Below are 16,274 nucleotides of genomic sequence, written 5' to 3'. Positions count from 1 at the left end.
GTAGTGTCTACCAAAGTGGGGTGGTAAAGGACCTATTGTGGCTAAAATCATTTCTTCCCACACCAATGATTACAAAGTTAACAGCTACAGTTAACTGGCTGTAGCTGCAACTGTGGCTGCTTGCTTTCTTCAAATTATGTAAACTACAACCAGCCAGAATACTAGTGAAATATTGAATAGTACTTTTGCTTTTATTGGTTTATCCTTTATTCAATCAAAGTCTGTGAACATCTTCATTTCACTTCAGATTTTAGCAAAGATATCCATTAATTAGACCTCAAAATAACTACATTTCTACAAACTAAATTGAGTTAGCCAGCTTATATTATCGGCAATAGTTTTTTAGTCTGAAATAAATATATGGTACCATCCCAAAAATCTGATGTAGTTTTCTTGAAAAAATTTCAATTTCCTAGTAGTATACAGCAATCCAGAGATGTTACTTACTGATATAGAGCTGCTGTATAATGTATCTTATTGAATCAGAATTATTTCCCAGTTGATTATTGGATGCATAAATCCAACCAAAATTATCACCTATCAACCTGAAAACATTAAACTTACAAAGCCAAATGGATCATCTGGCAAATCATAAATATGGCCATGGCATCCAAGTACACATCAGCACTCTGTTGTCTTGAGTCTAGACTTGGGGGAAACATTAACTCTTTCAGGTGGCCAGTAGAGTAGGGCAGCTGCATTCTCCTAGAAACAACTCCATATAATTAGGTTTAGGAAGCCAAACTGCCCTTCACATCTGAAAAGGCACCCTTCCAAGCAGTACATAGCAAAAAGTCTCCTTCAGTTTTCCTGTCCTCTCTCCCCAGGAGCCAGTGACCTCCAGAACTGCAGACAAAGCAGCTTTTGCTGCATTTAAAACAAACAAATAGCACAGGAAGGTGACTCAGTGTGATCAAGAGAATATTAGGCTGTTCTCACTGATCATAAGAATGTAAAGTTGAAACCTCATTAATATGCTGTTCCTGCTTTCCTCCTGAGAGAAAGTTGAATCTGGCGTTACCAGAAGGCAGAGCCATTTCAGGGTGAAGCAAAGTGGGCTTTTGTTTCATTTTGTTTTTGTTTTAGAGTGGCTTGTTGAGTCCTCTATCATTCCTCTCCTCTCTATGCCCTATTGTGATTTTCTGTCCTGTACATACACTTACATAGAGAGTAACCAAACATCTTATGTATTTCTAGACACTTCTTTCAAATATGTTATTTCCTCCATAAGCATACTCATATCTATCAGATCATGTTGCCTACTTTTTAATTTGAAAACCAAGGTCACCAAGATGCCCATGATGAAAACACTGCCCCATTCTATACTGAGTGTCTGTCTTCATTCCCTTATCATTAAGCGTGGCAGACATTTTGCTACATTGGTATTCTCTGCCATTGTCTGCATGTTAGTTAACATTCTTTTGGTTCCAAGTGTTAGAAACAGTCTGGCTAAGTTAAGTTAAAAAGGTAACTTATTGAAAGGACGCAGAGGCAGCTCCCAAATCTGGGGATGAGGGGAACAGCCAAGTCTGCTGGCTGAAACCTCAGCAGCAGGAATCCGTGGACTTTCTCTCTAGAGTGCTGCCTTTGATGTGCTTCAGCTCCGAGTAATCCCATCTTTGTGAGTCTTGGTTCAAAATTCCAAATTGGAGATTCCAGAGAGAATCTGATTTGCTCAGCTCAGAACAGGTGTTCACCGCTGTGTCAATCGGCTAGTGACAGAGGTGAAACCCCCTCAGTAAGATATGGCTGCTGAGGATCTCTCCTTTGCCTGTCTGGGGCAGGTCCCCTTCAAGCAAAGTGACACCAACAGGCATTTAAGCTCAGGAACCCCTCTTTGTATATTGCTTTGAATAGAACCATGCCTCGAAGCATTTCTTTAATACTTTGCCATAATACTTCCAACAATGGTTAGGAGTATTGTCTCTTCATCCCAAAAGAAAGGCATGTTTTTAAGTCTAAATATTCCCATGGCTTTGAAAACATCATTTGGCTCATCTTGAAGTGGTAGAGAGAGTGCTGGGCTAACAATGGGTTACAATAGACCTACTGAGCATGCCTGACCAAGTTTTGAAAAAGAAAACTTCCATAATCAAGTAAGATACATCCATCTACCAAAAAACATAATTTAGGGTGGAAGAAAGAAGGGCTCTTTTAAAATGCCAACCGGTTAGTTTATGGCCTGTATCAGTGCTGCAGTGATGGAAAAGGAAGGTGTCAAAAAAGTAAAATAGCTGATTTACTATCTACAAAAGATTAACAGCTTGCTAGGCCTGGGTGAGTATGGAAGTAGCAGCGAGTGAAATGTTCCCATTGGAGACACACTGATGAAAAGGAGCTGGGTGAGCAGATTGACCAGCTTCTTTTTGTGGTGAGGAAAAAGTTGCCATCCATCATGATTGAACTCTTCATTCTAGGGAAGTGTTTGGAAATCCAGATTGTTTAAGGTTCATTTCCACAAACTGAGATAAACAAATTATTCTGGGACTAAATAATAAGCAAATTCCTACTTTCTGTCTAAATGAGGGATATCACTGACCATCAGTCTCCTTTGAGGATTTATTCAAGTCGCCCTTTTTGGAGTAGGTGACACCAACATGCCCAGGAGGCTATAGTTTGGTAAAGGCAAGCCTCAGTAGAGTTGATACGGCCAAACTGTGGGTCAAACCAAGGAAACAAGATGTTGGCTGGGACTGGAGGCAAGCCAGTTTCAGAGCCAGAGTTACATTTTCTGGGCCATCTGTCCGAATGCTGGGAGAGGACATCTGGGAATTGCAGCTTCTTCTGGTTGGAAGCAAGAGGTTGAGAATCGGCATCTGGGACAACACCACCATTCAACCCTCCCAACCAAGCCTAAGCCCAGAGCTGGAGCGTGAGGCACTGAGCATAGGACAGTGTTTCCATATGTTCGGAACCCAAGGCCATTGACTGGAATAATCTGAGGAAGTCATAAATACGTAGATAAATTCTAGCACATGTCAAAATAAAAACTAATAAGCAAATGTTTTTCTAAAGTCATGAAAAAGAAAATCACATTCTTTATTAGTGTGCTGTCAAAACCTGTCAGTCTTATCTGGTTTTTAAGCATATAAGATACAGAATCTATTTTCCAATATCGAATCCATCTTTCTTTTACCAATGACCCTGGGCATGAGTTCATGTAATGGTTTAGTCTTGCTCATGTTTAACCTGCACTCCTCCGGCCTCTGAAAAAATTCTATCCTGATAAGCTTGTATTAGGGCAGTGCTTCTAAACCCTATCAGACCTAATGTCCCCTTTTAGAGCACATATTGTACAATACCTTCTTTATTATCTTGAGATTAAAATCACAGATGATATATCTTACCTTCAAACATAATGTTTTAAAAATCAATATAATGCCATAACTGTAATTTAAATAAGAAATAAAAGGAACATAATGTATAATAAAATAACATATCAATATGGAGAAGCTCAGACATGGCTTCATTAGAAGACAGAATGAAGAAGTCAGATGTTTGTGCCTCTATGTAGAGTTACTATGATTGCAACAGCTAAAAATGCCAACAGACAGAGGTGCAGTGTTGGCAGCTCAAGTGCCCCAAGCAATATCGTTGCCAGTGATACAATTTTCTGAAGTGGCTAACAACACTTGGTTAAGTTCCCAACAAAGCAAAGTATAATCTTCCCTCCACTCACATGGTAGTTGCACTCATGGAAAATTCAGTATATATTTAAACTGTACCCAAGATAGTCTGTGTTTATATAAAAATCGAGTTAGGCTTTAAGCTTAGATAATTGCAGACAGGTTTTTCACCTACATTGCTGTCTTCTGGGACATCTAAAAGTCATGGCAATCATGCATCAATTATTCACTGTGCAAGATCATCCAGCACATTGCAGTACATAGAGAATCCTTGACACTTACCTAACTGATGGCAATTACAGCCCTCAAACACTGTGAAAATCAAAATGTCTCCCCCATATTTCCAAGTGGCCCTTAAGGGAAGGTGTATCCCTGACAGCCACTGTATTAGGGCATCTTACTACAACTGAAAATATAAGGATCATTTAATTAGCCCTTTTTGCAGTATGAAGATACTATATTGTTGAAAACCAAAGTCATGCACCAAACTATACAGGCCAAACCTACCAGGTTGTAATCAAAAGCTCAGGATGGAAAGCGTTCACACATTTTAGGTTGCCTCATCCAGTAGAGAGATTACAAACATGGTATCAAATCCTAATCTGCCCTATACCTGTAACCTTCTAGAATACTATGTGTCTGCAGAATAAACATTTAGTATTAACTATCTGTGACTTATGTATTATCTAAGTGTTAAGCCCTTTTCTAATGTATCTTATATTTTGTCACAGGAACTCATATAAGACAATGGACTGTGAACTACTCCCAGGCAGTAGAACCATATCCTAATCAAGAACATTTGCTGCCTCCAGGCAAGGGGGTCTTGGCAACATGTACCTAGTTAAATTTCAGAATTGCTATGACCCAGTGACTTCTCTTTGCCTCCTCTCTATAAATGAGAGTGTTGGTTTGGCTCATCCTTTCCCTATATCACATTGAAGGAAGGTATTTATAAGTGGGGAGAGGGGATGGCAATAACTTGTCTTTTTAGTTTATAGGTTTCCAGATCAAGAGGAGTTGCACTTGAAGAGTGAAACCTCATCTGCAGTTGGACCTGATTTGGAGAATGAAATCATGGCCATCAAGTCTGCTGCCATAATAAGATGAGATTTTTGATGGACCTGAAAAGACTGCAGTAGATTTGCAAGGGGGGAAAAAAAAAGAAATGAAAAGCCACAATTTCTTTGAATTTCCTCCCATTGCCATTTGGTCCTGTGACCTGCATTTGTCAATGGGACATTAGCAAATGTGATGCAAAGAGACATTTGAAACACGTGCACATTGGGGTTCAGAATTGCTGCTTGGAAACTATGCAAGCAAGCTTGAACTAGCCTCTTAGAGGAAAAGAAGATGTGGAAGCAGGCCACGGCCACCCATCCTGCCCTCAAGCGGATTGCAACCACATGAGTAAGCCTGGGTCAGACCAGCAGAACTGCCCATATGAGTACAGCCCAAAGGGCCAACTTACAGAATCATAAGCCAATCAATGATTATTTTAATCAGTACATTTTGGGGATTGGTTTGTTACACAGCATAAATTAACTGCTACCGTAACTCTACAGCACTTTAGGGATAGCAACCTCAGCACCATGAAGAGTCAGAGGGAAGTTCCTGGTGAGTCCTACAAAGACTCATTATCTGACTCACTGGAGATATCAAAGATACCAGCTTATGAGAAGGAACACTGGCGACTCTGATTACTGACTTATTTTATACATCCAACATTTGCACATAAAGTTTCCAATCTTGCTAAGTTATCAGTTTCTGAAACTGCCTGAGAAAAAGGTAACTGCATGGTCTACTACACCTACCTGACATTTTTAGGCAGTTTTTCTCACTTTAATTTTACCTTTGGCTTATGAAATCTTATATAATGGATCAGTTGTGCTCCATAAAAGCCTTGGAATTTTATCAAATTGCATGTTGTTAGTTGACCCCTGTGCATCTCTCTCCATTATCCTGGCCCACTGCAAGGAACGTGCGATTAAATGTCATTAACCAACCAGAACTAAAGAAGCTTCATAAATAGACATGCTAACCTTTGACCAAACGCAGTTCATAAACTCTTTCAGGAAAGAAATGCTGGAGATTTCTTATAGCATTTCTGTTTCTGAGTTAAATTGGGACTATGTGGAGTGGAAAGGGTACTAAACTCGGAGTTAAAAGGCCTAGCTTCTTGTTTAGATCCTTCCTTCTCTTTACTGGGAGATCTTGGAGTTATTTAACCTCACTAAGCCTTGGTTTTCTCATCTGCTAATGGAAATGATGAAGCCTTCCCTTCCCACCCTCACAGGGTAGATGTGATGAATACATAAAGTAAATCCTTTGTTTGCACATGTCAGCATCAGGTGCTGACTGGCCCACAGAGACCTTGCTTTTGAATATTTTTAATGATACTATTTCACCTATACACAGTACTGTAGGAGGAAAGTCATAGTGGCAGTGCTTACTGGAGAGAAGAGAACCCAGTCTGAAATGCTGTCAATGCAAAGCCCTCCAGTCCTTGGTGCTGACTGTTAAGAAGAGGCCTGGACCCTCCTGCTGTCTGGCCTCTGACCATGCTGTGGAAGGCCTTTCTGGCATGCGTGGCATTGACTCATTAGATCAGGACTGAAATCTCCATTGCTATGTCTGCAAGATGCACCTCTGCCAGAACGATCCCTGTGTTTCTTGCATACACACCCCTAATATTTGTGGGAGCCGGAGGACAAATGAAAATCCATATGCCTGATATCTAAATATTTAAAAGGATCAAGGAATCTAACAGAGCACTTAAATAAAATATATTATATCCTCATATCTTGACAAATACACTTCACACTGACCTTGAAGGCTAGTTTTGAATTTAGAACTCCTCAGACTTCTCAGAGTCCCTTTCCAGGATATAGTGGGCCTTTCTTTTCCATCCCGCAGTATGAGGGCCTCAAGATCTCACGTGTGGACACCCCTGTCTCCATGTCCAAGCTCCATCCACACTCCTCACAAGTGTCTGTTGTTTTGGCCACCGATCAGATTGAGGAGTACATTGGGGGAGCCTGTCCACACTCAGAAGGACAGACCTGTGCAGAGGCTCATGCAAGCCCTGAAAATTGGCTCAGGACATTTGGGCAGAGACTTCCGGGGTCTTGGCTACTGAGGCATGGTCTGGAAGGGGAGGCGTCCAGTGGCCAGGTTCCCTTGGTCCTGCAGATTCCTCAGCTATTACTGGAAACCCTGAGGCCTCTAGTTTTCAGGTCCACTACTCCTCTCTGTCCAACTTCAAAAGCAAGCCATGACCCGAGAAGAGAATGGGCTGGCAACCAAGGGTGACATTAAAAGATATTTTTAACCAGCATGGCATGAGTACCATCCAATCATCTAACCATTACACCAGCAAAAATAGACACGGATGATGAGAAATTGCTATGGCCATAGTTCTACTTAGAACTGGCATTGCTCTATATCTGACATTTATCCTTGGCCTTCTTCCCTCTCCCTGCTACCTTGGCAAGGCCCACACAACTGATATTCTGCTTCAGTTGATTTCCTGGGCTGGAACCCTTTCCTGATCCTTAGTGTCTTTGACTGGGGCAGGCTCTGATACTCTTCCAAGTTCTTCCCGTCTCCTTTCCCCAGGATGCTAAATCAAGAAGATGATCTTGATGCATAGTGTCATTACCTGCCTATGATAAAACTGCTGCCTGGATCCCACCGCTACCACCTACCCACTAGCAGGGGGACCATGGAATGCTGCGGTTATTCCTCCCCTTGACCCTGTGAGCATTGGACAGCTGTTGAGACATACAGATTGAGTTTGACAAGATGCAAACACAGAACAATAGGGAACAAGGGTGTGGCTTAAGCAGGATCCTGTACTTCTGGTATCTGCCCTATTTCCAGCCTTGCTGATTCCTGGCTTCAGGTTCTGTGACCAGAGGCTCTTCTTCATCCCATGCCTCCAGCCTGGAATTTCTGCATCTGGCATCTCCTGCTCCACTCTCTTTCCACCCTAGTTGTCTCACCTGGTTTGCTCTTTCCACTCTTCACTTCTAGCAGAAGCTCTTTCCTGACTTCCTTTTGGCCTGTGCTCCAGCACTGTCTCTCTCTGAGTACCCGGCTAGTCGTCTCCCATCCCAAGCTCAGCTGGCATTCCTGATACCCTCCATGGGGCAAACAGGCCCTGTTGTCCCAGGAAGTGTCACATAGACACCTTGGCCCTCGGTAGAAGTACAAACAGAGGCCCACATACCATATGTCTAAATATTTTAAAGTTATACATTAAGCCAACCAACTGTTAAATAAAACATGTCCTACTCTCCTACTTTGACAAATATACCTTCACAGTGTCCTGGAGGTCCAGATGGAAATTTTAATTTCTGGGACTCCTCAGAGTTTTATGCCAGAACATAGAGACAGTGAGAACCAGCCCCCAGTCTTTGGCCCCACCCTGCTGCACAACTTCCTTTTCTTTCTGACCTGAATTTGCCCAACATGGTGAGGGGCCTTGCAAGGACAAGTATGCACTTCCCAGCCTTCACAGCCAAACTCCACCCACATTCCCTGAAGAGAGCTGCTCCTGGCCCACCCTGTCCTCAGAGTGACCAGCCCTAGAAGTGGGCCTGAGGCTATCAGGACAGGGAATTCTGGGGTCTTGGGTACCTGGAATATGGTCTCAAAAGGAGGATGTGGGCTTTGGGGTGGGGATGCTCCCTCAAGCTTCAGGCCTATGGCAGGAGCTCCTCTTTCCCTGGCCTAAGGGCTGTTCTGAGAGAGAGAATGAAGAAATTTGGGTTTAGATAAGTCAAGTTGGAGGAGCTGGTGAGAAACCTGTGTGGAGATGTCCTGCAGGCCTTTGGAAATGTCCATGTAAAGTTTGACCAAAGAACTACGCACAGTAGAAACCTGAACATCACTGAGCTGGAGAAATGGGATTGCGTGGGCTTTCCCACACCAGCTGATGATGGTATAGAGTTGTTTAAAGGCAGCACAGCTTCTCAGTGCCCGAAATCACTGCTCCTCACAATGCAAAGGTTGTTGCCTCTCCCTGTCTTGGTAAGGATGTTTTAGTGAGACGTGGCTTTCCAGGGGTCATTAGGGACATGTGGAGGTGCCTAAGGTAGAGGTTGTATATAAGATAGATTAGAGTTGACAGTGAGTGCCAAAAGATATAAATGGCTTATAGTGGCAGTTCAGGCTGCAATCATGATGCTACAATCTCTAAGGATCCAGGCTCCCTGTATCTGAATAGTATTTTCCATCTATTCTGAATAATAATTTCCACCTCACTGTTCAAGGTAGTTGCTGAAGCTCCAGTCATCACTTCCACATTCCAGCCAGTGGGAAAGAAGAGCGAAATATACACCTCTCCCTTGTTAAAAGAAAAACTTCAGCCAAATTAAATTTAAAAGAATTTAATTGAGCAAAGAACAGTTCCTGAATTGGGCAGACTCCTGAGCCAGAGTAGGCTCAGAGACTCCAGTGCAGTGCAGCCACATGGTGGAGAAGATTTATAGACAGAAAAAGGAAAGTGATTTACAGAAAATAGAAGTACAGAAACAGCCAGATTGGTTACAGCTCAGAGTTTGCCTTATTTGAACATGGTTTGAACAGCTGACCACCTTTGATTGGCCAAAACTTGGTGATTGGCACAAGAGTAGGTTACATTCTGTTTACAACTTCATTTAGAGTACAGTTCACGATGTACAGAGAAACTTTTAGGCTGAACTTAAAATATGTAAGGAGGCACCCTTAGGCTAACCTTGATTTAATACCTCTTAAGGCCATTTCTCAGAAATTTTACATGGCAGTTCTATTTTCATCTCATTGTCTAGAACTTAGATACATGACCACACCCAACTGGAAGAGGCTGGGAAATACAGAGTTTATTTCAGCCAAGGAGAATCCACCCCCCACCCCGGACATTCCTAGCTAAATATTAGGGTTTCTATTACTAAAGAAGTAGATAATGGGAACTTAGGGACAATTATCTGGCTTTGCCACAGGTTGGAAGAGCAGAGATGACAGAAAGAATTGCCTTAGCAACATGCTGTTTCGCTTCTGATGCTCTGAAATCCTTGGTGGTATGGTCATCTTTAGGTCCTGGTCCTTCCACTGCTATTAGGAGGGTGTGGTCGAAGCCTCCCAGCTCCCTTAGTCCCATTTCTTTTTGGGTAAAGCCTGGAACAGCAGGCTACTATCTAGATGCTGGGTGACAGTCACGTCTTAATTTGTCCTTGCACAGCTCATCAAAGGCTATTTCTCTCTTTGAATAAGCTGTAGCTGTAGCCGTTATTATGCCCGGAAAGGCTGTGAAGTTCCATGGATCAGCAGTTTTGGTAGTTGACTCTGCCTGATCAGATGTAGAGCAAATCATAAACTATTCAACATGTAAACACTGGAGGATGTGCTCTGCATGGGTAATGCACATGAAGTTTGGTTTGGCTCAGTGGCTCCTGTGAGGGCTTTAACCCAGCCCAGCTGGGTGGAAGTGTGGTTTTAAAGCCTCTCAGCCCAATATGGTAAAGTTGGGGAGGGAGAGGATGTTGAAATGATGGGGGAAAGCAGACTTTAAGGGGTCTTTTTTTCATAGAGGAGTCTTCCCTATGAGATTCTGTTCTCTTCCTTCCTGAAGCCCCTCAAACTCAAGGACTTCTGTGGTGTCCATTGAGGAAAGTCTTTGGAATGCTGTCACACAACAGTCTAGGGAAGAAAAGATGGCATTGTGAATTCCTTGAAGAGGCAGCAAAGCCATCACTCCAGCCAAATCCTAGCACTAACTTGCCTCACCCACTATTTTACCAGAAGAACTTTCTAGTTGATCTGTTTTTTGACCTGTTACCACTCGCCGGAGGCCCAGGAAGGGAGAACACCATTCTGGCCAATCCATGGGATTTGGAGTCAGGCAGATCCAGGCTAAAATTCTGCATCTGCTATTTACTAGTTATGTAGTTTTAAGCACATTAACTTTCTGAGCCTCCATTTGCCTACCTGTAAAATTAAAGGGGGAGAAAACTACCTCACAGGATTTCTGTGAGGCTTAAGTAATATCATATGCATAAAATCCTAGTTCAGTTCCAGCCCTTCAGGCACACAAGCTATAATTTCCTTCCATCTCCTCTGCTGGGAACACTGAATCACAAGTAGGACGTGTCATTAAAACCTTATATCTAAGAATCCTTGCCCACCCCCAGTCCCCTTCTCTACTTTCCCTTCTCTTGCTGTTCCTGACTCTCTGGTAGAACCCTACCCTTATCCAATTCTGTTCTCAGCAGTTACAGGATGTCCTTTAACAGCTGCCTGACCCTCGTCAATTTCCCCCTTCCACAGAGAGACTTATGGAGGAAGTCTTTAATTTCTCTTACCACAAAAAATTGCTTGCTAGCTAAATGCTACCTCAGCCCAGATGACCTGGGCTTGGCCAGTCCAGGGTGTCAGTCTATCCACAGTTGTAGATACATGCTGTCCTCAAGCCTCATTGTCCTCTGAGCCTGAGGGCCCTCTGGACCACTCCATGAAAGTCTAAACTACTGAATTGAAAATGACCAAAATCTTCTCTGGATCAGAACAGGATGGGGGAATTAAATGGAGAGACCCGAACTTTCCTTCTTGGCTGTGGCTTCTGTTTACAGCTCAAACCCTCTCATTCCCTTCTCATCAGTCTCTTGGCCAATCACATCAGCAGGCACAGAGCAGCCCGGCTGCGCCGAGTTCAGTTAACATTGGAAGCCTTGCAGTGGCGGAAAGAAATCTTGCTTCCTCAGTAAAACAAATGTGGTAAGACCTACATCTGCCTATCTTCTTCTTCCTCCCACCAGAGCAGGAGGTGCTCCCAAAGGCAACTCTGCTTGGGCTCAAGTCTCAGTCCTTCATGCTGTCTCCCTAGTTATACCTTCTCCTTTTTCATTGCTTCCCTCTGGACTGAATCACTCCTGACATCATATGTAAACATACTGTATTATTTCCCATTTAGGAAAACACCAAAACAAAAATAAAGACCCTCTCCTGACCCCACGTTACCCTCCAACCGCTATCCCATTTCTCAAAACCTCTTAGAAGGATTGTGAGCACACTGTCTCCACCTTCTCACTCCTATTCACTCCACAGCACAATCCAATCCAGTTTCCATTCCCTTTGCTCTGCTGAAACTGTTCTAGTCAAGACCTCCAACCATCTCCATACTGACAATCCAGGGAATTCTTTGGACCAGATGATGTCATTGGTTTGCTTAAAATTCTTTAGTCTTCCCATTGGGCTTAAAAGGACATCCAAACTTCATTTCTTGGCCTTCAGAGCCTTTACTGGCCATGGTCTAACCCTTAAACCTCATCTCATGACCCTTCCCAACCTTCTCGTGAAGTTTTAGTCTTTAGTCATTGGCCTTCCATGGATTCCAGAGATTTTCCAGTCTCTTTCTGCCTCAGGGCCTTTGTGCCTGCTATGGCTTCTGCCCGGAGTGTTTTTCCCTTTGCTTGCTGTGTGGAGGATTCTTTCTAAGTCTTTAGGCCTTAAGAGTCACTTCCTCAAGAGACCTCAGTGACTACTCTACCTAAAATGACCCACTTTGGTATTTTTTATTACGTCACCCCATTTTTAATATTGCATAAAATCCATCATTATTCTGACCATTTATGTATTTAAATGTTTATCATCTCTCCCCATTTTTCTCCCTACTCCCCCCTCACTAATGTAAACTCCATGAAGTCAGGGACTGTGGCCATCTTGTTTGCCATCATATCTTGCTAGGTCTGGTATGTAGAAGTGGCTCTATACTTATTGAATAATGAATGAATGGCTCAAATGTTCTCCACATATGAAGTAGCATGTGGATTCTTGAGATGTCTGGGCCTACCTTCACAGTCATTTGAATGTTAAGCAACTCAGATGATCAGCAGAGGTACCCGTTCTTTGCTATTTACATATAGTTGAGAAGAACTCCCTTTCCTGCAAAAGTGCAATACCCTCCTCAGGATGTTTGTGAATGCCTGGTGTCTTAAACTCTCATGAGCACTTGTGGTTTTAATTTGCTGCCCCTGTAAATTTTCAGTCTCATTCACATCTCATCTCATGCAGCTGTTCTTAGCTTTCTGCTCCAACATGACCCAGATGAGTCTTTCTCTTTTTTATTGGCCCCAGATATCACCGATCAGACATTTGAGTATAGACCAGTCTTTCTTCAAGTGTTGGAGCATTGCTGGGGACAAAGAGGCAGCCAGGGGCCATAGTGTCTATACCACAACACTAGGAAATAAACAACTTTAAATTTTAATATTAAATATCTTAGCAGTCCTTTTGGGCTGGGCTCAGTGGCTCACACCTGTAATCCCAACACTTTGGGAGGCCAAGGCAGGGGAATCACTTGAGGCTGGAATTTGAAGCCAGCCTGGGCAACAAAGTGAGACCCCATCTCTACAAACAATTTTTTAAGAAATGAACTGGGCATGGTGTCATGCACCTGTGGTCCCAGCTACTTGGGAGGCTGAAGCAGGAGGATCTCTGGAGCCCAGAAGTTTGAGGCTGCAGTGAGCTATGATCACAACACTGCACTCCAGTCTGGGTGACAGTGTGAGACCCTGTCTCAAAAAAAAAAAAAAAAAAAATTCCTTTAGTTACCACCCCCACTGCCCTCCCTCTGGTGACTTTTTGCTGGTGACATTTCTCAGCCCCTCTTCTCCTTTTCACTTGCTCTTCATCATTTCTTTTGGAGAGCAGTTTAATTCTATGTTCCTGTTCTTTCAAATGAGAGAGGGTGATGAGATGGGAACAGGGAATAAGAGAAGAAAAGGAATATTCGCCTTTCGAATAATAGAAGGCAATCTACTCCTAGAGAAATAGTCCAGTCCCTTAGAAACAGAGCAGCTTCAGGCTGTTGTGATTTTAAAGAGCACTTTTTTAAACTCCACTTTACCAACACATTTTATGCCCCAAGTGAGGGAAGTATGTTTATTGCTATACGTTGCTATATGTTCCTACATTAACAGTCACACACACATACACACACACAGATGCATAATCATGTGTTGCTTAATGATGGGGATAGTATCTGAGGAATGTGTTGGTAGGTGATTTTGTCATCATGTGGACATGATAGAGTGTACTTATGCAAACCTAGATGATATAGCCTACTACACACCTGGGCTATATGGGACGACAGCCTATTGCTCTTAAGCCACACACCTGTACAGCATGTTACTGTACTGAATACTGTAGGCAGTTATAGCACAATGGTGAGTATTTGTGTATCTAAACCTATCTAAACAGGAAAGGTATGTTAAAACAGTATTAGAATCCTATGGGACCGCCATCATATCTGTGGTCCATCTGAAATGACTGAAAAGTCATTATGCAGCACACGACTGTGTGTGTGTGTGTGTGTGTGTGTGTTTATGTGTGTCTGTGTGTATGTGTGTGTCTATGTGTGTGTGTAATTTTGGTTGTTTTCCAAAAAAGCTCCTGTATAGGCCAGAACCTAGTGAACCCAATTCTCAGTCAGTCATACCTTCAGAGTCTGAGTAAAAATTCTTGATTGGGTCTGCCAGCCTCCCCACCCTCACCCCTTCATGCTGAGACCTGTTACACCTTGACTCAGGTAGACCAAGTAAAAAGCCTAGTAGGGTGATCGGGGGAAAGGATTTAAAGACACCAACACATGTTCCAGTTAAGATCAGCCACAGAAGGTAAGAACATTTTTGTTTGGATTTAACATATGGAACACCAATAAGAATGGTCTGACTTGATTTCCAAAGAACAACTTTGAGCACCTAGAAAACCTCATACATCTTAGAAACAATAAAGACAATAATAAAAGGACTACGCTACTCTGGTGAAAGAGATTGAAACCACTCTCTCTAGATAAAAGCATTTGGGAAAGTCATGTTTAGATTACCCAAGGGCCATAATAGCTGACTCGCCAGGGCTCAGAGCAAAGTACACTCTCGGACTCCAAGATTCTCTTTTGCTCTAAGTACAAGTTGATATGTTCTAGACCTTTCAGGCGAAAAAAACTTGGTCTCTGAGTACCGATGAATTGATGCTTTAGAGAGAGCTATGACCCATGCCAGCTTGCTTAAATTATGGAGAATGGAGTATAAATGGAAGCACCTAGCAGTCCCCAGCACCTAACTTAATGCCTGTTGTTAACAAACACTCACAAAATAAATGAATAAATGAGTTAAATATACACTGGCTGGCTAGACTCTTTCTTTTCTGGTCGAAAGAAGTAGGTATAAGTAAATTAAGAAGGTAGCAAGGATTAATAGCAAATTTGGGCTCTGCACATGCAAACTCAGCCATTCAGATGCATAATCCTAAGGAAACAGAGTTGAAAATATAGCTGTGTTCTCAAAAGATAATCTTTGATCATGCCCTGGACCCAGAGAAGAGATATCAGGGATCTGAGGATATAGATGTATTCTTACCACATTTAAGTACATCTAGAATCATTTGGTGGAGTACAAGGAGTTCTCAACTTTGGCGCTACTGAAATTTTGGGCTAAATTATTTTTTTGTTGTGAGAGACTGTCATGTGCATTGTAGAATGTTTAACAGCATCTCTGGCCTCTTCCTACTAAATGCCAGTAGCACTCCTCCCCCAGCTGTAAACAACCAAAAATGTCTCCAGAAATTGCCACATTTCCCCTGGGGGCAAAATAGTCCCAGTTGAGAACCACTGGTCCATGTTCAGATGGATCGTATGATCTGAAAAGTCTTAGATGCCACAAAAGAAAGAAAGAAAGAAAACTACATTGGTAATAGGTTGCTTTATATTCCTGGCATGAGGACTAGCACAAAGTATTCAAAGGCCAGAATGTGTAATCAATCTAGCTTTAGCTTCAGAAATAGACAAAAGATCTACAGGATGAAGCCTGAAGCTCACTAGAGATTTCCAAAAGAAGAAGGAGGTGAATTAAATATGATTAGATAAAATAATTCATGCAACTGTGACAGGATTTAATTATGGGTGACTGCAGTCTATGCATGTGAATCAAAAAAGTGCCAAAAGCACATCGCGCAATGATGACTGAGATGATGCTCATCATAAATGACTGGCTCATAAACTAGGGCTTGCTGGTTGGAGCATGTGGACCAAGCTGCATCTGGTAGCAGCCTTAATCAATAGGCAACTCTAGGTAAGCAGTTCAGGAGTTGCTAAACTGATGGTATCACTGGCCCATGGCACTGGGATGAGAGTGCTTTATAAATCATCTTGACATCCATCCAAGCACTAGAAAACCCAAACTGAGGTTTCGGATCTTAGGTTTAGAAGAATGTGGCAAGTGCTTAGATAAATGGAGTAAAGAGAAATGATAGGGATGAGACAGCAGTGGAATGTGCTCTGCCCCTGTGAAATAAACTCCAACATTGTATTGCCAACATGCAAATTTAGACACCGTGAAGGAGTCAAAACAGTTAAGGAAATCAGCCTAGAAGGATCTTGGAGTGGAAAAATGATTACAATACAGAGCCCTCCCAAGGAAAACAGGAAACACACTGCACTGGGGAAATAGCACAAAACCTTTCTCAGACAATCTTACATGCAAGTGGAAACTTGAAAGGAGACACAGAGCCACACACTCTCACACAAACACTCGGTAACCACGTAACAGCTGTCTGATGCAGAGCAGGGTTTGTGAATATGTCTGAAATTATCAGCGGCAACAGCTGAAGAAGACA

General features: G+C 42.6%; 1 long non-coding RNA gene across 2 annotated transcripts in view; it reads left to right on the top strand.

The window, feature by feature from the left end:
• LOC124906112 (uncharacterized) overlaps positions 1–16,274 on the top strand; it is a 204,201-nt gene that overhangs the window by 170,266 nt on the left and 17,661 nt on the right. Inside the window, exon 3 of one of the 2 annotated variants that reach the window (XR_007088015.1) lies at positions 4,618–5,128. The exons of the other annotated variant lie outside the window; for it this stretch is intronic. This is a non-coding gene — a long non-coding RNA (uncharacterized LOC124906112). Of the gene's footprint in view, positions 1–4,617; positions 5,129–16,274 lie in introns of those variants that run through there. 2 annotated transcript variants of the gene reach the window in all.

Source organism: Homo sapiens, chromosome 2, assembly GCF_000001405.40.
Source record: "Homo sapiens chromosome 2, GRCh38.p14 Primary Assembly".
NCBI classification, from domain to species: Eukaryota; Metazoa; Chordata; class Mammalia; order Primates; family Hominidae; genus Homo; species Homo sapiens.
Note: the sequence above shows the minus strand (reverse complement) of the source record. Positions and strands in the feature narration are given on the sequence as shown.